This window comes from Homo sapiens, chromosome 11, assembly GCF_000001405.40.
Source record: "Homo sapiens chromosome 11, GRCh38.p14 Primary Assembly".
NCBI lineage: Eukaryota > Metazoa > Chordata > Mammalia > Primates > Hominidae > Homo > Homo sapiens.
The window spans coordinates 63,372,684-63,396,019 of NC_000011.10; the positions used below are offsets into that span (position 1 = coordinate 63,372,684).

The 23,336-nt window shown below is 36.5% G+C and overlaps 1 protein-coding gene across 3 annotated transcripts in view; it reads left to right on the forward strand.

Annotated features, from left to right (window-relative positions):
- SLC22A9 (solute carrier family 22 member 9) overlaps nucleotides 1–23,336 on the forward strand; it is a 40,510-nt gene that overhangs the window by 2,899 nt on the left and 14,275 nt on the right. For 2 of the 3 annotated variants that reach the window (NM_080866.3, XM_017017159.3), the window contains exons 3-6: nucleotides 961–1,115; nucleotides 1,211–1,379; nucleotides 2,962–3,085; nucleotides 9,476–9,594. In NM_080866.3, the coding sequence (NP_543142.2) occupies nucleotides 961–1,115; nucleotides 1,211–1,379; nucleotides 2,962–3,085; nucleotides 9,476–9,594 (567 nt within the window). The remainder of the gene's footprint in view (nucleotides 1–960; nucleotides 1,116–1,210; nucleotides 1,380–2,961; nucleotides 3,086–9,475; nucleotides 9,595–23,336) is intronic. The other variant, XM_047426335.1, reaches the window with a different exon arrangement.

Here is a 23,336-nt window from a genome sequence, read left to right on the forward strand (position 1 = left end):
TTGTTTAATTTCCCTTTGCAATATTTTATAGTTTATGATAAAAGTCATGTACTTTTTATTAATTTATTTCTAATTCATATGTAAAGATAATTTACATGTAAATTATGTACATATATGTAAAGATAATTAACTTTTTCATAGTAAACTTACATCCTGCCAACAGGATAAATTTATTAGTTCTAGTAGCTATTTATGGATTCCTTAAAATTTCCCAACTTGATCATATCATCTGCAAGGTGGAATAGTTCAAATCACTAATGTTCTACTTTTTCCTTTTAATCTCTTTCTAGCAGTAGCTAAAACCTTTGATACAATGCCAATGACATTGGTGAGAGCTGAAATCCTGCCTCACCACAGGCTATATTGTTCCAGTTGTCTACAGAGAGGACTCCTTTCCCAGAAAACAGTAAAACACTAAATTCCCTTTTTCTTTTTTTTCCTTTTTTTTTTTCTTTTTTTTTTTGCCCTCCCCTGCAACACTTCAACAACTTTGATGTATTGTTCTATGGATGTTCCTTTCACATCAGTATACCCATAGCCTGCACTGTCCTAGACTTCTACATCTAGATTTAGATGTCTTATAGGCTATGCCCTGCTCAGGCTCTCTACTATGCTAAAGTACATGGGAGACACATTGTGTTATTAGTACGCTGTGTGTTAGTACAAGGGACTTCTGATACTTTAAAATGTCCAATATTCCACCCTGTCTTATGTGGTTTCAATTGGTGTCAAAAATATACTGCTAAGAGATTGGAAAATAAGCTTTGATCTACTTGGTATTTATTTAGAAACAGGGAACATTGTGTCTGAGATCTGCCATTGATTACTGATTCTTTAAGGCTTCAAATGCAAAGTTTCACTTGTTAAACATCTTTTAAGTTTCAAAGTGTGCCTTCTCTTTGCTAAGTTTTTCCACTTGTTGTTATTGTTCCCATTATCTAACCTGTTTCTGTTTCTCAGGTTTGGGAGAAGGTTCGTGCTCAGATGGTGTTACCTCCAGGTTGCCATTGTTGGCACCTGTGCAGCCTTGGCTCCCACCTTCCTCATTTACTGCTCACTACGCTTCTTGTCTGGGATTGCTGCAATGAGCCTCATAACAAATACTATTATGTTAAGTAAGCCAACACTTTGGATCCACATTTTCCAAACTGTGACTTTGAAATTGAAACTCCACCTTTGAAGTCAAAGCCTTATCTGTTTTTTCTTCCAGTAGCCGAGTGGGCAACACACAGATTCCAGGCCATGGGAATTACATTGGGAATGTGCCCTTCTGGTATTGCATTTATGACCCTGGCAGGCCTGGCTTTTGCCATTCGAGACTGGCATATCCTCCAGCTGGTGGTGTCTGTACCATACTTTGTGATCTTTCTGACCTCAAGGTATGAGTTTGTTTCTTCTTTTGTCTTAATGAGATATTGGAATGAGAATGTATGTGGAACTAGGACACCTGAATTTCTTTTTGTTCTTTGTGTAAACCTGAGAGCACGTCCTCTCATAATCTGTGCTTGATGTGCAATACAAGAAGCAGAACACATAGAGTTTCCTGATAAAACTGAGGGCAATCAATGAAATTTCAACATAAGGTAACCAACAAATATTTCTCTAAAATTATATCTCAAATATTGTAAGAGACATAATTTACTCAAGATCATTTATTGTTTATATGAAATTTCATTCACCTGAGAGTTCTTTTATTTAAATGAATAAAACATAGGAAGTCCCATTAAATTCAAATTTCAGATAAGGGATGAATAATTTTTAATATAATTATGTCCAAAATATTGCATGAGACATGCTTATACTAAAACATTTTCCTGCTTAATAGAAATTCAAATGCATCCATGCCACTGTGTTTTCATTTGCTAAAACCAGCAACCCATGACATGGGGAATAGCAATGAATCATTGCCTGAGACTTCTTAGTGTCCTTGGATATCCTCGCCTTAACAAGTATTATGGAAACAGAATTATTACAAAAATGTTTTCCCCAATACAGGAAAACATTTGAGGAGCTATCTTCCATGGTAGTCTATGTTTTTATATATATCCTTGGAAAAAAATACATGATGGAGAAGTTTGGGATTTTTTTTCTTAATTATTATAGGTGATATTGGATGAAAAGAAGGTGTAGCAAATTTACTTTCATAACTATCTAAAGAAAGAGCTGCATGGTTTCTTCAATTAAAATATTAAGGCAAAATGGATAATTTACCTCATTTGTCAGTATTCCATCTTCCTTCTATCAGCTTTGCAAATACTTATAGTCGGTTAACTATACTCTCCCCTTAAAAAAGCCAGTTCAGTGAAAGACATCTATTTGGACTTTACCTTAGAGAGATGATTACAGATTTAATACAGAGAGAAGAGTTCAGATAGAAAAGTAAGCAAACTCCCTGTCAGGCTCATCCATTCATTTATCTTATCTCCATAACAGCCCTACAAGGTAATATTCTCTCCATTACATAGATGAGAACACTGAGGAATATTTAGGTAAGTAACTTGTTAATATGTCCAGTTTATTCACAGATGATATGACCAGGAGTGATTCTAGTTGTATGAGGCCTTAAGCATGCATAAATTATTTGAGGGACTTTATTTTAGGGAAAAGAACACATTAAGAATAGACATAAGTCATGACCTCACTAGGACCTTGGCAGGGATCTATCTGTACAAGTGACGGTCCTTCATGCTGCAGTGTCAGGAGCTCCAAGGTAAATTTGCCAAGTAAGAGAGGAGCCAGTATGATTCCAAGTCTGCATTCCCAACAGTGAATATGTACTGGATGGAGGAGTCATCTCACATTTTTCTAGTTATAGTCAAAGAGAATGTGAGTTTACATTTCCTGGTAAAACCAAACAAGTGGTGGATATTAGCTTGGAGGGAGAAGACATCTTAAGAAAAAACTAATGTAAGAAATGAGGAAGTGAAAGTCGACTGCCCCTCTGTTCTCTTCCTTGGTCAGTTGGCTGCTAGAGTCTGCTCGGTGGCTCATTATCAACAATAAACCAGAGGAAGGCTTAAAGGAACTTAGAAAAGCTGCACACAGGAGTGGAATGAAGAATGCCAGAGACACCCTAACCCTGGAGGTGAGCTGGATGGGAGCTAGATATGGGATGTAGGGAAGACATAACTTGTCATCAATACTTAGCAGTAGCAGTGTCCATAAGGTAAAAAAAGGAAAGAAACACAGGTATGGTTATGGGCTGTATCACCTCACTATCATTTTTAATGGGCTTCAATATTGTTTGGGTTAACATTGAAGGGGAATATGCTGTTGCCAAAAGGATGAGACACAGATATTTTACTCAATGGAGGCAGAGGCACAAAGTATTAACTATTGTAAAGATTTTGCATTGAACTCATTCTAACTGTGTAATAGGAGTAACCAAAACTAGTTCATTCCTTCCCATTTATTATTCTGTGGGTCTCTTTCAGGGTAGTAAAGCCAGAGGAAGGGTTAGTGAGCAAATAGAATACAACATAAAGAGTTCACTTATTTGTTCATTCAATCATACATTCTTCCATTTATGATACATTTAGTGAGGCACTACCTATGCCAGATTCCATTCTTCCCTGGAAATACTGCAGTGCCCATATCAATCCAAATCCCTATTTGTCTGGAGTTTCATTATACTTACTTACTATAAGTTCCTAAAGCATGACTAAGTGGAAATGCCTGTGAGAAGTCTTTCTCATTTTAATCCACCCCAGATCTTAAAGATAAATGTTGTCATGGATCTTTAAGTTAAATATTATCCATGTTATACACATATATAAAGTATTAATCTTAAAATGTGGTATGCACAAATGATACTAGATCATGAATAACAGAATAAGTCAAGGTAACTACCTGAATGAAGCTTTTGCTATGACAGAGAATATCAATGGACAGATTTAAATCCAAATATTGGAAATGATATGGGAAAGGAAAGAATGCTACTTGGAACAATAAAAATACATTTTCTCCCATTTTATTGAAAAAGGAGAGGATTAAGAGCAAGCCTCTTAATATCCTTACATATTAATATTAACCTTAAATGTAAAACATCACACTTAAAAGACACAGAGTGACAAGTTGGATTAAAAAAAAAAATACACCCAATTGTATACTGACTTCCAGAGACACTCACATGCAGTGACACCTATAGGCTCAAAGTGAAAGGATAAAGAAAAATCTAACAAGCAAATGGAAAACAAAAAAAGAGCAAGGGATGCAATTCTAATTTCAGATAAAACAGATGTTAAACCAACAGTGATCAAAAAAGGCAAAAGGAGAATTACATAATGATCCAGGGTTCAATTCAATAAGATTTAACTATCTTAAATATATATGCACCCAACACTGGAGCACGAAGATTCATACAACGAGTTCTTAGAAATCTACAAAGAGACTTAGATAAATCATACAATGATAGTTGGAGAATTCAACACCCCACTGGCAGTGTTAGACAGATTATAGACACAGAAAACTAACAAAGATGTTCAGGAACTAAACTCAACACTTGACCAAATGGACCTAACAGATATCTAAGGAACACTCCACCCAACAACAGCAGAATATACGTTATTCTCCTCTGCACATGACACATGCTCTCAAATTGACCACACATCAGCCATAAAACAATCCTCAGCAAATTCAAAAAGAAAGAAAGAAAGAAAGTAAACCAACCACACTCCTGGACCACAACACAATAAAAGAGAGATCAATATGAAGAAGATCTCCCAAAATCATAAAATTACATGGAAATTAAACAACCTTCTCTTGAATGACTTCCGGATAAATAAAGAAATTAAGGCAGAAATCAAGAAAACCTTTCAAACTAGTGAAAACAAAGATATAACATACCAGAATCTCTGGGACACAGCTAAACACATGTTAAGAAGGAAACTTATAGCACTAAATCCCCACATCACAAAGTTTGAGAGATCTCAAATTAACAACCTAACCTCAAACCTATTGGAACTAGAAAAAGAAGAGCAAACAAAACCCAAAGCTAGCAGAAAAGAAGAAGTAACCAATTCAAAGCTGAACTGAGTGAAATTGAGATGTAAAAAAGATACATATCAACAAAACCAAAGATTGGTAATTTGAAAGAACACATTAGATGGATAGACTTTCTTAAACTAATAAAGAAAAAAAGAGAGCGGATTCAAATAAATGCAATTAGAAATGACAAAGGTGACATTACCACCAACAACACAGAAATACAAAAAACACTCAGAGACTATTACAAACGCCTCTATGCGCAGAAACTAGAAAACCTGGAAGAAATAGATAATTCTTGTAAACATTCAAACTCCCAATATTGAATCAGAAATAAATTGAAACCCTGTATAAACCAATAACAAGTTTCCAAACTGAATCAGTAATAAAAAGCCAGTCAACTAGAAAAATCCCTGGGCCACATGGATTCACAGCTAAATTCTACCAGACATGTAAAGAAGAGCTTGTACCAATCCTACTGAAATTATTCCAGAAAATTGAGGCAGGGAGACTCCTAACTCATTCTACAAGACTAGATTCATTCTAATACCAAAACCTGGCAGAGAAAAAAATTTTAAAAAAAGAAAAACCAGACTAAAAACAAAAAACACATTATCAACCCAATAGACAGAGAAAAGGCTTTTAATAAAATTCAACATCGTTCATATTACAAACCCTCAACAAACTAGGCATCGAAGGAGCATACCTCAAAATAATGAGAGCTATCTATTGACAAACCCAAGCCAAGATCATACTGAATACACAAAACCTGGAAGCAGTCCCCTTGAGAACCAGGCAAGACAAGGATGTCCACACTCACCAATTCTATTAAGCATAGTACTCAAAGTCCTAGCCAGAGTAATTAGACAAAAGAAAGAAAAGGCCACAAAATAGGAAGAGAGGAAGTCAAAATATCTCTCTTCACATACAATATGATCTTATACATACAAATCCCTGTAGTTGTAGCCCAAAAGCTCCTTGATCTGGTAAACAATTTTAGCAAAGTTTCAGGATACAAAATCAATGTACAAAAATCAGTAGCATTTCTATACGCTGACATCGTTAAAGCTGAGAGCCAAATCAAGAATGTAATCTCATTCGCAATAAACACAAAATAATAAAATACCTAAGAATATAGCTAGCTAGGGAGGCAAGAGTTCTACAATGAGAACTACAAAGCAATGATGAAAGAAAGCAGAGATGACCACAAACAAATGCAAAAACATTCCATGCTCATGGATATGAAGAATCAATATTGTTTAAATGGCCATACACCCAAAGCAATTTACAGACTGAATCCTGTTCCTATCAAACTACCAAAGACATTTTTTATAGAATTAGAGAAAACTATTCTAAAATTCATATGGAACAAAAAAAAAGAGTTTGAATAACCAAAGCAATCCAAAGCAAAATGAACAAAGCTGTAGGCATCACACTATCTGACTTTGAACCATACTACGAGAACACAGTAACCAAAACAGCATGGTACTGGTACAAAGACAGAAAGGTAGACCAATAGAATAGGCTAGAGCACTGAGAAATAATGCCATACCTCTACAACCATCTGTTCATCAATGAAGTCGACAAAAACAAGCAATGGGGAAAGGATTCCCTATTCAGTCAATGGTGTGATAACTGACTATCCATATGCAGAAGATTGAAACTGAACCCCTTCCTTTCACCATATACAAAACTCAAGTCAAGATAAAGACTTAAGTTTAAGACCTAAAACTATAAAAATCCTAGAAGAAAACATAGAAGATACCATTCTGGACAAAGGCCCTGACAAAGGTCTCATGACAAAGACTCCAAAAGCAATTGCCACAAAAACAAAAGTTGACAAATGGGACCAAATAAACTAAAGAGCTTTTCCACAAAAGTTTTCAACAGAGTAAATAAAGAAGAGTGTAAACAGAAAACCTATAGAATGGGAGAAAATATTTGCAAACTGTTCATCCAACAAAGGCCTAATATTCACAATCTATAAGGCACATGAACAAATTAAAAAAGAACAGACAGCCCATAAAAAATGGCCAAAGCACATGAACAAACAGTTGTTTTTGTTTTGTTTTGTTTTGTTTTTGAGATGGAGTCTCACTCTGTCACCCAGGCTGGAGTGCAGTGGCATGATCTTGGCTCACTGCAGCCTCCACCTCCAGGGTTCAAGCGATTCTCCTGCCTCAGCCTTCTGAAGAGCTGGGATTACAGGCTTGAGACATCATACCTGACTAATTTTTGTATTTTTAGTACAGATGGGGTTTCACCATGTTGGCCAGGCTGGTCTCAAACTCCTGACCTCAAGTGATCCACCTGCCTTGGCCTCCCAAAGTGCTGGGATTACAAGCGTAAGCCATCGTGCCCGGCCAAACAAACACTTCTCAAAAAAAGACATACACACAGCCAACAAGCATATGAAAAAAATGCTCAACATCACTAATCATTAGATAAATCAAATCAAAACCACGATAAGATACCATCTCACACCTGTCAGAATAGCAATTATTTAAAAGTCAAAAAATAACAGATGCTGGTGAGACTGCAGAAAAAAGGGAACACTTAAAAACTTTTGATGGAAATGTAAATTAGTTCAGACACTGTGGAAAGCAGTGTGGAGATTTCTCAAATAACTGAAAATAAAATTACCATTCGACCCAGCAATCTACTACTGGGTGTATACCCCTCAAAATGCAAATTTTTCTGTCATAAAGGCACATGCATATGTAGGTTCATCACAGCATTTTTCATAATAACAAAGACATGGAATCAACCTAAATGCCCATCAACAGTGGACTGGATAAAGGAAATGTAATGCATATACACCATGGAATACTAAGCAGCCAAAAAAAGAGGTCATGTCCTTTGCAGCAACATGGATAGAGATGGAGTTCATTATCCTAAGCCAATTAATGCAGGAAAAGAAAACTAAATACCACATGTTCTCACTTATATATAGGAGCTAAACATTGGTCCAAATGGAGATTTGTATACATACACACAAACAAGAGAACAATAGACACCAGAGCCTACTTGGGGGTGGAAGATGTAAGGAGGTAAGAAGGTGAGGATCAAAAAAACTACTTATTGGGTACTGTGCTTATTAACTTGGTGATGAAATCATCTACACACCAAACCCCCATGAAACACAATTTATCCATGTAACAAACCTGCACATGTGCCCCGAGCCTAAAAGTTGGAAAGTAAAAAACAAAAAACAAATAAAAGAGCATTGGAATCAAAAAAGAATGATGCATTATTAAACTAAATGGCAACTGATGATCCCATCAGTTTCCCAGGGAAAAAAAGAGAGCATTGCTTATGAAATGCAATTGAAGCTTGGTATGGAAAATGGATTTTATACATGACTGGATACCTAATGTTGCCTAAATTTGAATTTATTATTTTATAATGATTATTCATAAAGGTCTGGTCTTAGTCCTGTTTTAACCTCCATCTCACAGGTTTCCTAATGTACCTGTTCTAGACAACCCTCTAACCTAAAGCTGCTCCACATTATGTCAATATCAATCCATTAATTACTCCAGTCTTATGGGTCTGGGAGTCCAGTAAATAACATACATCTCCTCTGCCCAGATCACATATAACCCAGAGATATTTAAAGTGGTTAGGACCATGAAGATAAAAAATTTTAGGTGTTTTACTACTGTGAGGACTGGAATAGAGGATGTGACTTTCAATACCTACCATCAACATTATTTCTAATGCTTCATTCCATAACTGAACTTACCTGTCCCAGTTTTTTTAACAGGTACAAAACCTAACCTGGTAAATATAGGGTGCAGCCCAGAAAGCAGGCCTGAATATGATCTCTTTCTAAAAGTGTTCTGGGCACTTGAGAATGCCTATGGCATTCTCCCACACTCACCAATCAAGTAACTCAGTTCTTTATGGGTAGCTGAGGGTATGTACAGAAGGGCCAGGATTGTCTCTTTTGAGAGTTATTCCTCATGGAAGCATGAGATTAGGGAGAAAGCAGCCCCTCCTTCCCCAACCTTCAGTATTTCTGAGCCAAGAACCAAAATGAGTTCTCTCAGGAAATTTTGCTCCTTTCTGAGGCAAGCTGTTTTTCACCAGGGGCAGTGAGCTGAGAACCAATGTCCACGTCCTTTGGGGACCATGTGGTCCAAATGGAGCTTTGGACTATAATCCAATATGGCCTTCATTTGGACTGTAATCTTTATTCGGTCCCCATCATGGTCTGATTCTCTAACATACATACCCTTTTCAATGCTCTGTAGCCACTTGGATCTCTTGTCTAAAATATCCTTGAAACATAATTTCCTGGAGGCTGCTTTAACGTCCTAATTCACTTTTCACATCATTTTTACACATATCATTGCATTTTAAGGCTTATATTTTCCACCAGACAGAAAGTGCAGTCAACTCACTTCTCATCTGTGGGTTGACCAGTGCGCCTACAGTGCCTACTCTTTTCTGACAACTGTACAGTTTATTGTTTCTGCTATTGTTGAAGATTTTGAAATCCACCATGAAAAAAGAACTGGAGGCAGCACAAAAAAAAAAACCTTCTCTGTGTGAAATGCTCCACATGCCCAACATATGTAAAAGGATCTCCCTCCTGTCCTTTACGAGGTAAGCTTCATGCAGTGTTTGAGGGTAAGTTACAGTACTGGAGACATGAATCTTGTCCTCATTTCAAGTAGTACAGCATGTTTAGGAAACAGATTTGCACATAAAAGATGAGAAAGCCGTAAAGAGAATTGCTGTGTTTGAATGTAGTAAAAGAGTTGTGAAAAGACTGACACGGAATTAATTTATGCAATAGTTTTTGTTTATCGCAACACCCTATCAGGCTCTTCACTGGACACCAACGCAGAGAACTTCAATTACAGTATATGCTTTGGCTTGAAGTTTCTTAACGTGTTTGTTTCCAGTTTTAATGAGGTAAATTACAAAGAGAATTTTGTACACAAATATATACAGCTCAATGATTATTTCCATATTTTGATATGTAATTTAGATCAAGGTACATAAAAACCTCTAAAATACTAGGACATGATCGCAAGCATAGAAAAAACATAAATAGGAAGTCCTACCTATTAATCCCCCCACAGAAACATTGATTTAACAATGATTGGATCCAAATACCTCTATGAGATTTCCAAAATAGAGGTAAGATGTTGTAAAACAATAGATGAGCACAAACCCAAGAACAGTTGCACTGAAATGGGTAAGAAGAGTAATTTCACCTGACCCATGACAACCCCTTCCCAAAGTTGTTTCAGCTCAGTGCCAAGAGAGAACACCCTGGCCTATGACCGCTCCCTCATAGAAAAGGAAGGAGTGGAGCAATACACATCTGGGCCTTTTGACACACTGTGTGAGGAACTGGTATTTGTCTCACCTCACTCAGAGCACTTATGGAACTTGCATATTTGGATGTTTGGGTCACTGAATAGAAGGTGAGCACAAAGAAAATCTGTGACTGGTACAGCTCAGTGCAATAAAAATAAGATGGGCAATTTTAGGTTTCTCCCTCAGGAGGGAGGGAAGGGAGTGCAGTATGTGTCCAACATTCTAATTTTTCAGGGAGATGCCCAAGAAATGTGTTTTTGTCTTTCCCACCCGGGATGCCAATGGGACTCCAGATACTCTGGATATCTTAAGAATAAAACATGATAAAAAAAATCTGACTGTCATCCTGCTGCATCAGAGAACTCATAGTACAGCAGACAGACACCACGGGCAGCCAGATTACAAGATATTTTAAAACAGAAACCAGTAGATCTCTCTGATCAGAAATATGCACACACAAATACAGATAAGACACTTTACAGAGAATGTTTGACAAGCCCCTAGAATCTCTATTTGGGTTGATTGGTGAAGGTCTTTCCCTATAAAAGCTAGTCTGGGAAGATAGGAAGAGGGAGCTGTTTCTTCAAATGTGCATACACCAATGCAAAGCTTCAAAGAACATGAAGAAACAGAGAAACATGACTCAAAAGGGAACAAAAAAATCCCCAGAAACTGACCATAAAGAGAGGTATATGAATAAAGTGATAACAAATTAGAAACAGCTACCATAACAATGCACACATAAGTCAAGATAAAAATGGATGAACAGGTCGGGCGCAGTGGCTCTCACCTGTAATCCCAGCACTTTGAGAGGCTGAGGCAGGTAGATCACGAGGTCAAGAGATAGAGATCATTCTGGCCAACATAGTGAAACCCTGTCTCTACTAAAAATACAAAAATTAGTTGGGCGTGGTGGTGCACGCCTGTAGTCCCAGCTACTTGGGAGGCTGAGGTAGGAGAATCACTTCAACCCGGGAGGTGGAGATTGCAGTGAGCTGAGATCGTGCCACTGCACTCCAGCCTGGTGACAGAGCGAGACTCCATCTAAGAAAAAAAAAAAAAAAGAGGAACAAAGTGAGAAATTCAACAAAGAAATATTGTAAATATTTCAAATGACCAAAATAAATCAGGGAGTAGATGAAGACAATGACTGTGCTGGGGTGCATGTACAGGATGTGCAGGTTTGTTACATAGGTAAACATGTTCCATGGTGATTTGCTGCACCTATCAACTCATCACCTAGGTATTAAGCCCAGTATGCATTAGCTATTTTTCTTAATGTTCTCTCTTCCTGCACCCAACCCCCAACAGGTCCCAGTGTGTGTTGTTTCTCTCCCTGTGTCTATGTGTTCTCATTGTTCAGCTCCCACTTATAAGTGAGAACATGCAGTGTTTGGTTTTCTGTTCCTGCATTAGTTTGCTGAGGATAATGGCTTCCAGCTTCATCCATGTCCCTGCAGAGGACATGATCGCATTTTTTTTATGGCTGCATAGTAGTTCGTGGTGTACATGTACCACATTTTCTTTATCCAGTCTATCATTGATGGGCATTTGGGTTGATTCCATGTCTTTGCTGTTATGAATAGTGCTGCAATGAATGTACGTGTGCAAGTATCTTTGTAATAGAATGATGTATATTCCTTTGCGTATATACTCAGTAATGGAATTGCTGGGTCAAATGGTATTTCCGTTCTAGATCTTTGAGAAATCACCACACCATCTTCCACAGTAGTCAGACTGATTTACCTTCCCACCAACAGTGTAAAAGCATTACTGTTTCTCCTCAACCTTGCCAGCATGTTATTTCTTGACTTTTTAATATTTGCCATTCTGATTGGTGTGAGACGGTATGTTATTGTGGTTTTGATTTGCATTTCTCTAGTGATCAGTGATGTTGAGCTTTTTTTCATATGTTTGTTAGCCACATGAACGTATGCTTTTGAGAAGTGTCTCTTCATGTCCTTTGCCCACTTTTCAATGGAGTTTTTTTGTTTTTTCCTTGTAAATTTAAGTTCCTTATAGACTGGATATTACATCTTTGTCAGATGGATAGGATGCAAAAATTTTTCCCACTCTGTAGCTTGCCTGTTCACTCTGATGATACAGTTTTTTTTTTTTTTTTTTTTTGCTGTGCAGAAGCTCTTTAGTTTAATTAGATCCTATGGCCAATTTTTTTTTTGTTGCAGTTGCTTTTGGTGATTTCATCATGAAATCTTTGCCCATCCCTATGTCCTGAATACTGTTGCCTAGATTTAGGATTGTCCCAGCTATATGAGCTCTTTTTTCATTCCATATAAATTTTAAAACAGATTTTTCTAATTCTTTGAAGAATGTCAATGGTAGTTTAATGGAAATAGTATTGAATCTATAAATTGCTTTGGGCAGTATGGCCATTTTCACGATATTGATTCTTCCTATCCATGAAGATGGAATGTTTTTCCATCTGCTTGTGTCCTTTCTGATTTCCTTGAGCAGTGGTTTGTAGTTCACCTTGAAGAGGTCCTTCATTTTCCTTGTTAGCTGTATTCCTAGGTATTTTATTCTCTTTGCAGCAATTGTGAATGGGAGTTTATTCATGATTTGGCTATCTGCTTGTCTGTTGTTGGTGTATAGAAATGCTTGTGATTTCTGCATATTGATTTTGTATCCTGAGACTTTGCTGAAGTTGCTTATCAGCTTAAGAAGCTTTTGGGATGAGTCAATAGGGCTTTCTAGATATAAGATCATGTCATCTGCAAATGAAGACAACTTGACTTCCTCTCTTCCGATTCAAATACCCTTTATTTCTTTCTCTTTCCTGATCGCCCTGGCCAGAACTTCCAATGCTATGTTGAATAGGAATGGTGAAAGAGGGCATCTTTGTCTTGTGCCAGTTTTCAAGGGGAATGCTTCCAGCTTTTGCCCATTCAGAATGATATTGTCTGTGGGTCTGTCATAAATGGCTCTTATAATTTTAAGGTATGTTCCTTCAAGACCTAGTTTATTGAGAGTTTTAACATGAAGGATGTTGAATTTTATTGAAGGCCTTTTCTGTGTCTATTGAGATAATCATGTGGTTTTTGTCTTTAGTTCTGTTTATGTGATAAATTACATTTACTGATTTGCTTATGTTGAACAAGCTTTGCATCTAGGGATGAAGCCGACTTCATCGGGGTTAATAAGCTTTTTTGTGTGCTGCTGGATTCAGTTTGCCAGTATTTTGTTGAGTATTTTTGCACCAATGTTCATCAAGGATATAGGCCTGAAGTATTCTTTTATTGTTGTATTCCTGCCAGGTTTTTATCCCTACCAGGTTAGCATGATGCTGGCCTCATACAATAAATTAGGGAGGAGTCCTTCCTTTTCAATTGTTTGGAATAGTTTCAGAAGAAATGGTACCAGCTCCCCTTTGTACCTCTGGTAGAATTCAGCTATAAATCCACGTGGACCTGGACTTTTTTTTTTTTTTTTTTTTTTTTTTTTTTTTTTGGTAAGTAGGCTATTAATTACTGCCTCAGTTTAGAACGTATTGGTCTATTCAGGGATTCAACTTCTTCCTGGTTCAGTCTTAGGAGGGTGTATGTGTCCAGGAATTTATCTATTTCTTCTAAATTTTCTAGTTTATTTACATAGAGGTGTTTATTGTATCCTCTGATGGTAGTTTGTATTTCTATGGGGCCAGTGGTGATATCCACTTTGCCATTTTTTATTGTGTCTATTTGAGTCTTGTCTCTTTTCTTCTTTATTAGTCTAGCTAGCAGTCTATATATTTTATTAATTTTTTCAAAAATCTAGCCTCTAGATTCATCAGTTTTTTGAAGGGTTTTGTGTTGTTGTTGTTGATGATTTTGTTTTTTTGTTTTGTTTTGTTTTTTGTTTTGTTTTGTTTTTTGTTTTTTGTATCGCTGTCTCCTTCAGTTGCACTCTGATCTTGGTTATATCTTGTCTTCTGCTAGCTTTGGGGTTTGTTTGCTCTTGGTTCTCCAGTTCTTTTAGTTGTGATGTTAGGGTGTTGATTTGAGATCTTTCTAGCTTTTTGATGTGGGCACTTAGTGCTATAAATTTCCCTCTTAACACTGCTTTAGCTGCAACCCACAGATTCTGGTATGTTGTCTCTTTGTTCTCCTTGGTTTCAAAGAATTTGCAGAAGGATTTTTTTAACTTAATATAATCCCATTTGTTCACTTTTGCTTTGGTTGCCTGTGCGTCTGGGGTATTACTAAAGAAATCCTTGCCCAGTCCAATATCCTGGAGAATTTTCCCAATTTTTTCTTGTAGCAGTTTCATAGTTTGAGGTCTTAGATTTAAGAATTTAATCCATTTTGATTTTATTTTTGTATATGGTAAGAGATAAGGATCTAGTTTCATTCTTCTGCATATGGATATTCCATTTCCCAAGCACCATGTATTGAAAAGACTGTCCTTTCCCCAATGCACATTCTTGACACCTTTCTCAAAAAGAAGTAGACTATAGATGTTTGGATTTACCTCTGGGTTCTCTATTCTGTTACACTGACCTAAGCATACACTGATCTATGTTTTTATGTCTGTACCATGCTGTTTTGGCTACTATAGCTCTGTAGTATAATTTGAAGTCACGTAATGTGGTTCCTCCAGTTTTGTTCTTTTTACTCCAGATAGTTTCGACTATTCTTGGTCTTTTTTGGTTCCACTTAAATGTTAGGATTGTTTTTTCTATTTCTGCGGAAAATGTCATTGGTATTTTGATAGGGATTGTATTGAATCGGTAGATTGCTTTGGGTAGTATGGACATTTCAACAATATTGATTTGTCCAATCCATGAACATGGAATATCTTTCCATTTTTAATCCTCTTCAATTTCTTACATTAATGTTTTAAAGTTTTCATCAGAGGGTTTTTTCACTTTTTATTAACTTAATTTCTAGGTATTTTATTTTATTTGTAACTATTGTAAGCATGTTGACTTTCTTGGTCTTTTTTAGATGGTTCCTTATTGGCATATAGAAATGCTATTGATTTTATTTGTTGATTTTGTATCCTGCAGCTTCACTGAATTTGTATCCTGCAACTTTACTGAATTTATTTCTTGTTTCTAATAGCTTTGTGGTGGGGTCTTTAGATTTTTCCAAATATAAGATTATATCATCTGCAAACAAGAATAATTTGACTTCGAGTTTTCCAATTTGAATGTCCTTGATTTCTTTCTCTTCTCTGATTACTCCAGCTAGGACTTCAAGGGCTATGTTGAATAACAGAGATGACAGTGGGCATCTTTTGTGTTTCAGATCTTAGATGAAAACTTTCCATTTTTTCTCCATTCTGTATGATACCAGCTATGAGTCTGTTGTTTATGGCTTTTATCATGTTGAGGTATGTTCTTCTATGCCCAGTTTTTCGAGAGGTTTTTTTTTTTTATCAGAAATGGATGTTGAAGTTTATCATATGCTTTTTCAGCATCAGTGGATATGATCACATGGTATTGTCCTTTATTTGGTCAATATGATATATCATGCTAACCAATATGCATATGTTTGACTATCCTTGCATCTGTGGGATAAATTCCCCTTAGTAATAATTAATCATTGTTTTAATGTGTTGTTGAATTCAGTTTTCTAGTATTTTGTTGAAGATTTTTGCATCAATGTTCAACAGGGATATTAGCCTGTAGGTTTCTTTTTTTAATGTGCCTTTGTCTGATTTTGGTATCAGGGTAATTTTAGCCTCATAGAATGAGTTTGGAAGTATTCCCTCCACCTGTATTTTTTTTTTGAATAATATGATAAAAATGGCATTAGTTCTTCCTTAAATTTTGATAAAATTCAGCAGTGAAGCTATCAGGTCCAGAGCTTGTCTTTGCTGAAAGACCTTTTATTATAGCTTTGATCCCATTATTTTTTATTACTCTGTTCAGGTTTTAAATTTCTTCATGGTTCAACCTTGGTATGCTATTCGTGTCTAGTAATTAATCTATTTCTTCTAAGTTTTCAAACTTATTGGCATATAGTTGTTAATGGTAGCCTCTAATGACATTTTGAATTTCTGTGGTATCAGTTACAATGTCTCCTTTTTAATCTCTGATTTATTTGGATCTTCTCTGTTTAGTTAGGCTAAATGTTTGTCAGTTTTGTTTATCTTTTCAAAAACTAACTTTTAATTTTATTGATCATCTGTATTGTGTTATTTATTTTATTTTAATTTATTTCTGCTCTAATTTTTTTTTTATTTTAAGTTCTGGGATACATGTGCAGAACATGCAGGTTTGTTTCATAGGTATACATGTGCCACAGTGGTTTGCTGCACCTATCAACCCGTCATCTAGGTTTTAAGCCCCACATGCATTAGGTATTTGTCTTAATGCTATCCCTCCCCCTTCCCCCAACCCCCGACAGGCCCCAGTGTGTGATGTTCCCCTCCCTGTGTCCATGTGTTCTCATTGTTCAACTCCCGCTTATGAGCGAGAACATGCAGTGTTTGGTTTTCTGTTCCTGTGTTAGTTTGCTAAGAATGATGGCTTCCAGCTTCATCCATGTCCCTGCAAAGAACATGAACTCATCCATTTTTATGGCTGCATGGTATTCCATGGTGTATGTGTGCCACATTTTCTTTATCCAGTCTATCACTGATGGGCATTTGGGTTGGTTCCAAGTCTCTACTACTGTAAATAGTGCTGCGATAAACATACGTGTGCATGTGTCTTTATAGTAGAATGATTTATAATCCTTTGGGTACATACCCAGTAATGGGATTGCTGGGTCAAATGGTATTTCTGGTTCCAGATCCTTGAGGAATTGCCACACTGTCTTCCACAATGGTTGAACTAATTTACACTCCCACTAACAGTATAAAAGTTTTCCTATTTCTCCCCATCCTCATCAGCATCTGTTGTTTCCAGACTTTTTAATGATCACCATTCTAACTGGCATGAGATGGTATCTCATTGTGGTTTTGATTTACATTTGTCTAATGACCAGTGATGATAAGCTTTTTTTCATGTTTGCTGGCCACATAAATGTTGTCTTTTGAGAAGCGTCTGTTGATATCCTTTGCCCACTTTTTGATGGGGTTGTTTTTTCTGGTAAATTTGTTTAAGTTCCTTGTACATTCTGGATATTAGGCCTTTGTCAGATGGGTAGCTTGCAAAAATTTTCTCCCATTCTGTAGATTGACTGTTCACTCTGATGATAGTTTCTTTTGATGTGCAGAAGCTCTTGAGTTTGATTAGATCCCATTTGTCAATTTTGGCTTTTGTTGCAATTGCTTTTGGTGTTTTAGTCATGAAGTCCTTGCCCATGCCTATGTCCTCAATGGTATTGCCTAGGTTTTCTTCTAGGGTTTTTATGGTTTTTGGTTTTACATTTATGTCTTTTATCCATCTTGAGTTAATTTTTGTATAAGGTGTAAGGAAGGGGTTCAGTTTCTGTTTTCTGCATGTGGCTAGCCAGTTTTTCCAGCACCATTTATTAGATTGGGAATCCTTTCCCCATTGCTTGTTTTTGCCAGGTTTGTCAAAGATCAGATGGTTGTAGATGTGTGGTATTATTTCTGAGGTCTCTGTTCTTTTCCATTGGCCTATATATCTGCTTTGGTACCAGTGCCATGCTGTTTTGGGGTCTGTAACCTTAAGTTACTGTAACTTTTGGTTATCGTCTGAAGCCAGGTAGCATGATGTCTCCAGCTTTGTTCTTTTTGCTTAAGATTGTCCTAGCTATACGGGCTCTTTTTTGGTTCCATATGAAATTTAAAGTAGTTTTTTCTAATTCTATGAAGACAGCCACTGGTAGCTTGATGGGAATAGCATTGAATCTATGAATTACTTTGGGCAGTATGGCTATTTTCACAATATTGATTCTTCCTATCCACACCTGCTCTAATCTTTATTATTTATTTTCTTCTGCTGATTTGGGGTTTGGTTTGCTCTTGCTTTTCTAGTTCTTTAAGATGTGTCATGAGGTTGTTTCTTTCAGTTTATTCTATTTTTTTGATGTAGACACTTATAGCTAAAAATATACCTCTTAGTACTTCTTTTGCTGTATCCCGTAGGTTTTGATATGTTGTGTTTCCATTATCATTTGTTTCAAGAAACTTTTAAACTTCCTTCTTAATTTATTTATTGATCCACTTGCACTCAGGAGCATATTGTTTAATTTCCATGTGTTGATATGATTTTCAAAATTCCTCTTGTTATTGATTTCTAGTTGTATTTCATGTGGCCAGATAAGACACTTAATATAATTTCAATTATTTTGACTTTTTTCAGACTTGTTTTGTGGCTTAACATATGGTCTATCCTTAAGAAATACCCATGAGCTGAGGAGAAAAGTGCATATTCTTCAGCCATTGGATGAAATGTTTCATAAGTATCTATTAGGTCGATTTGTTCTACAATGCAGATTAAGTCCAATGTTTCTTTGTTGATTTTCTGTCTGGATGATCTGTCCATTGCAGAAAGTGGGAAGTTGAAGTCTCCAGTTATTAATATAATTGTATTGGGGTATATCTCTCTCTTTAACTCTATTAATATTTGCTTTATATACCTGGGTGTGTATATATTTACAATTGTTATATTCTCTTGCTGAATTAGCTCTTAATCATTATATAATTACCTTCTTTGTCTCTTTTTAGACTTTTGCCTTAAAATCTGTTTTCTCTGATGAGTGTATCTACTCCTGCTCTTTCTTGGTTTCCTTTGGCATAGAATATCATTTCCATCCCTTTATTTTCAGTCTGTATATCTTTTTAAATACAGTGGATGTCTTGTAAGCAACAGATCATTGAGTCCTGTTCTTAATCCATTCAGGAACTCTCTGTCTTTTGATTGGACAGTTTAGTTCATTTACCTTATATGTTATTATTGATTTTAAAAAAAAGACTTACTTCTGTCATTTTGTTATTTGTTTTCTGGTTGTTTTGTGGTAGTATCTTCCTTCTCTCCTTCCTTCCTGTATTCCTTTAGGTGAAGATGACTGTCATTGGTGATATGTTTTAATCTCCTACTTTTCATTCTTTGTGTACCTGTTGCATGTTTTTCAATTTGAGGTTACCATGAGGCTTGCAAATAATATCTTTAACCCATAATTTTAAACCAATCACAATGTAACAGTAATTGCATAAACAAACAAATAAGGAAAGAGAAAACTAATAAAATGTCTACACTGTAACTTTGTCTCCTGGCTTTTTAACCTTTTCTTGTTTTTAAATCTTACTGTATTTTCCATGTCTGAAATTTATTCATTATTTTTTATTGTTTCATCTTTTAATCTTCCTACTCAAAATACAAGTAGTCTAGCCACCACAATTACAGTGTTATACTATTCTGTGTTTTTCTGTGTACTTACTTTTGCCATTGAGTTTTGTACATTCAGATGATATATTCCTGCTCATCAATGTCATTGTCTTTCAGATGGAAGAAATCTCTTTGACATTTCTTGTAGGACAGGTCTGGTGTTGATGAAATCCCTCAGTATTTGTTTTTCTAGGAAAGTCTTTATTTCTCCTTCATGTTTGAGGCTATTTTTTGGCTGGATATACTACTCTGGGATAAAAGGTTTTTTTTTCCCCCTTCAGCTCTTAAAATATATCATGCTTGTCTCTCCTGGTCTTTAAAATTTCCACTGCAAAGTCTGTTACCAGATGTATAGGAGCTCCACTGCATGTTACTTGTTCCTTTTCTCTTCTGCTTTTAGAATTTTTTCTTTATCATTGGCTTTTGGGAGTCTGACTATTAAAGGCCTTGAGGAAGTCTCTTTTTTTGCAACACTTACTGATATATTGTAGTTTAATAAAAACATAGCTTATACAGTTCATTGAAAAAGTATTTTAATGCAAACACCACTTTTACACAAAACCAAATGTTGATATTCTCATTTTTTAAAATTCTTGGTTTCTCTAAAACACTAAGATGATACCTCAATAAGGGTTGCTTCACATTTTCCAATTTCTTGATCTGTGCATGTCACAAGTAAAGATCCAGATTTGTTCTTTTTGCATAGTCTTGCTTTGGCCATGCATGCTCTCTTTTGGTTTCATATGAATTATAGAATTGTTTTTTCTAATTCTGTGAAAAATGATGGTTTTATTTTCATGGGAATCGCATTGAATTTGTAGATTGCTTTTGGCAGTATGGTCATTTTCACAATACTGATTCTACCCATCCATTAACATGGGATGTGTTTCCATTTGTTTGTGTCATCCATGATTTCTTTCAGCAGTGTTTTGTAGCTTTCCTTGTAGGGGTCTTTTGTCTCCTTGGTTAGGTTTATTCCTAAGTATTTTAATTTTTTTGCAGCTACGATAAAAAGGGTTGGGTTCTTGATTTGATTCTTCACTTGGTCTCTGTTGGTGTATAGAAGAGCAACTGATTAGTGTACATTAATTTTGTATCTGGAAACTTTGCTGAATTCTTTTATCAGTTCTAGGAACTTTCTGGAGGAGTCTCTAGTGTTTTCAAGGTAAACAATCATATCATCAGCAAACAGTGACAGTTTGACTATCAGTAATATGCTGAAGAGGAGTGGTGAGAGTGGGCATCCTTGTCTTGTTCCAGTTCTCAGAGGGAATGCTTTCAACTTTTCCCCATTCAGTATTATGTTGGCCGTGGGTTTGTCATAGATGGCTTTTATTACATTGATGTATGTCCTTTGTATGCCAGTTTTGCTGAGAGTTTTAATTATAATGAGATGCTGGATTTTGTCAAGTGCTTTTCCTGCTGTTAGTCTGATGGGGTTCCCTTTGTGGGTAACCCGAACTTTCTCTCTGGCTGCCCTTAACATTTTTTCCTTCATTTCAACCTTGGTGAATATGATGATTATGTGTCTTGGGGTTACTCTTCTTGAGGAGTGTCTTTGTGGTGTTCTCTGTAGTTCCTGAATTTGAATGTTGGCCTGTCTTGTTAGATTGGGGAAGTTCTCCTGGATAATATTCTGAAGAGTGTTTTCCAACTTGTTTCCATCCTCCCCATCACTTTCAGGTACACCAAGCAAATGTGGGTTTGGTCTTTTAGTCCCATATTTCTTGGGGATTTTGTTCATTCCTTTTCATTCTTTTTTCTCTAATCTTGTCTTCATGCTTTATTTCATTAAGTTGATCTTCAATCTCTGATATCCTTTCTTCCGTTTGATCAATTCAGCTATTGATACTTGTGTATGCTTCACGAAGTTCTCGTGTTGTGTTTTTCAGCTCCATCAGGTCATTTATGTTATTCTCTAAACTGGTTATTCTAGTTAGCAATTCCTCTAACCTTTTTTCAACGTTCTTAGCTTGAGATGTGAGGTATCATTCCAGTCATCATGCTATTTGTCACATTTATACCTTGGTTTTTTGGTTTTTCTTTTTTTTTAATTCTATTTTTGTTTTATAGGTCCTGTGAGATTTAGGCTTTAAAGAGGTTCTATTTTAATGTGTTTCCAGGATTTGTTTCAAGATTTAGAGGTCCTTTTAGCAATTCTTGTAGGGGTGGCTTAGTAATGGTGAATTCTCTCAGCATTTGTTTATCTGAAAAAGACAATCTTTCCTTCATATGGGATGTTTAGTTTCACTGGATACAAAATTCTTGGCTGATAATTGTTTTGTTTGAGGAGGCTGAAGATAGGACCCCAATCCCTTCTAGCTTGTAGGGTTTCTTCTGAGAAATCTTCTGTTAATCTGATAGGTTTTCCCTTTTAGGTTACCTGGTGCTTTTGTCTCACAGCGCTTAAGCTTCTTTCCTTTGTCTTAACTTTAGATAACCTGACGACAATGTGCCTAGGCGATTATCTATTTGAGATGAATTTCACAGGAGTTCTTTGTGCTTCTTATATTCGCGTGTCTAGTTCTCTAGCAAGGCTGGGGAAGTTTTCCTCAATTTTTCCCCCAAATATGTTTTCCAAACTTTTAGATTTCTCTTCTTACTCAGGAACACCAAATATTCTTAGGTTTGGTCGTTTAGCATAATCCCAGACTTTTTGGAGGCTTTGTTCATATTTTCTTGTTCTTTTTTCATTTATTTATTTTTTTGTCTTTGTTAGATTGGGTTAATTTGAAGATCTTGTCTTCGAGCTCTGAATTTCTTTCTTCTGCTTGTTCAATTCTATTGCTGAGGCTTTCCAGAGCATTTTGCATTTCTATAAGTGTATCCAATATTTCCTGAAGTTTCTTTTGCTTTTTCTTTATGCTATCTATTTCCTTGAATATTTCTCCCTTCACTTCTTGTATCATTTTTTACTTCCCTGCCCTGAGCTTTGCCTTTCTCTGGTGCCTCCCTGATTAGCTTAATAACTAACCTCTTGAATTCTTTTTCAGGTAAATCAAGAATTTCTTCTTGGTTTGGATCCATTGCTGGTGAGCTAGTGTAATGTTGGGGGGTTGTTTAAGAGCCTTGTTTTGTCATTTTACCAGAGTTGGTTTTCTGGTTCCTTCTCATTTGGGTAGGTCTAGGGCTAAAGGCTGTTGTTCAGGTTATTTTGTCCCATGGTGTTCCCTTGATGGAGTACTCTCCCTTTTTCTAGGGATGTGGCTTCCTGAGAGCTGAGCTGCACTGATTGTTATCTTGCTTCTGGATCTAGCCATCCAACAAGTCTACCAGGCTCTGGGCTGGTACTGGGGATTGTCTGCAGAGTCCTGTGATTTGAACTGTCTATTGGTCTCTCGGCCATGGATACCAGCACCTGTTCTGGTGGAGGTGGCTAGTGGGTGAAATTGACTCTATGCAGGTTCTTAGCTTTGGTGGTTTAATGTTCTATTTTTGTGCTGGTTGGCCTCCTGGCTGGGGGTGGCACTTTCCAGAGAACATCAGCTGTGGAGAGAAACCAGCAGTGAATGGGGCCCTAGAACTCCCAAGAATATATGCCTTTTGTCTTCAGAAGTTGGGTAGGAAAAGGCTATCAGGTGGGGGCAGGACTAGGCATGTCTGAGCTCAGACTCTCCTTGGGTGGGTCTTACTACAGCTGCTGTTGAGGATAGGGGTGAGGTTCCCAGGTCAAAGGAGTTGTGTATTTAGGAGTATTATGGCTGCCTCTGCTGAGTAATGCAGGTTGTCAGGGAAGTGGGGGAAAGCCCACAGTCACAGGCCTCACCCAGCTCCC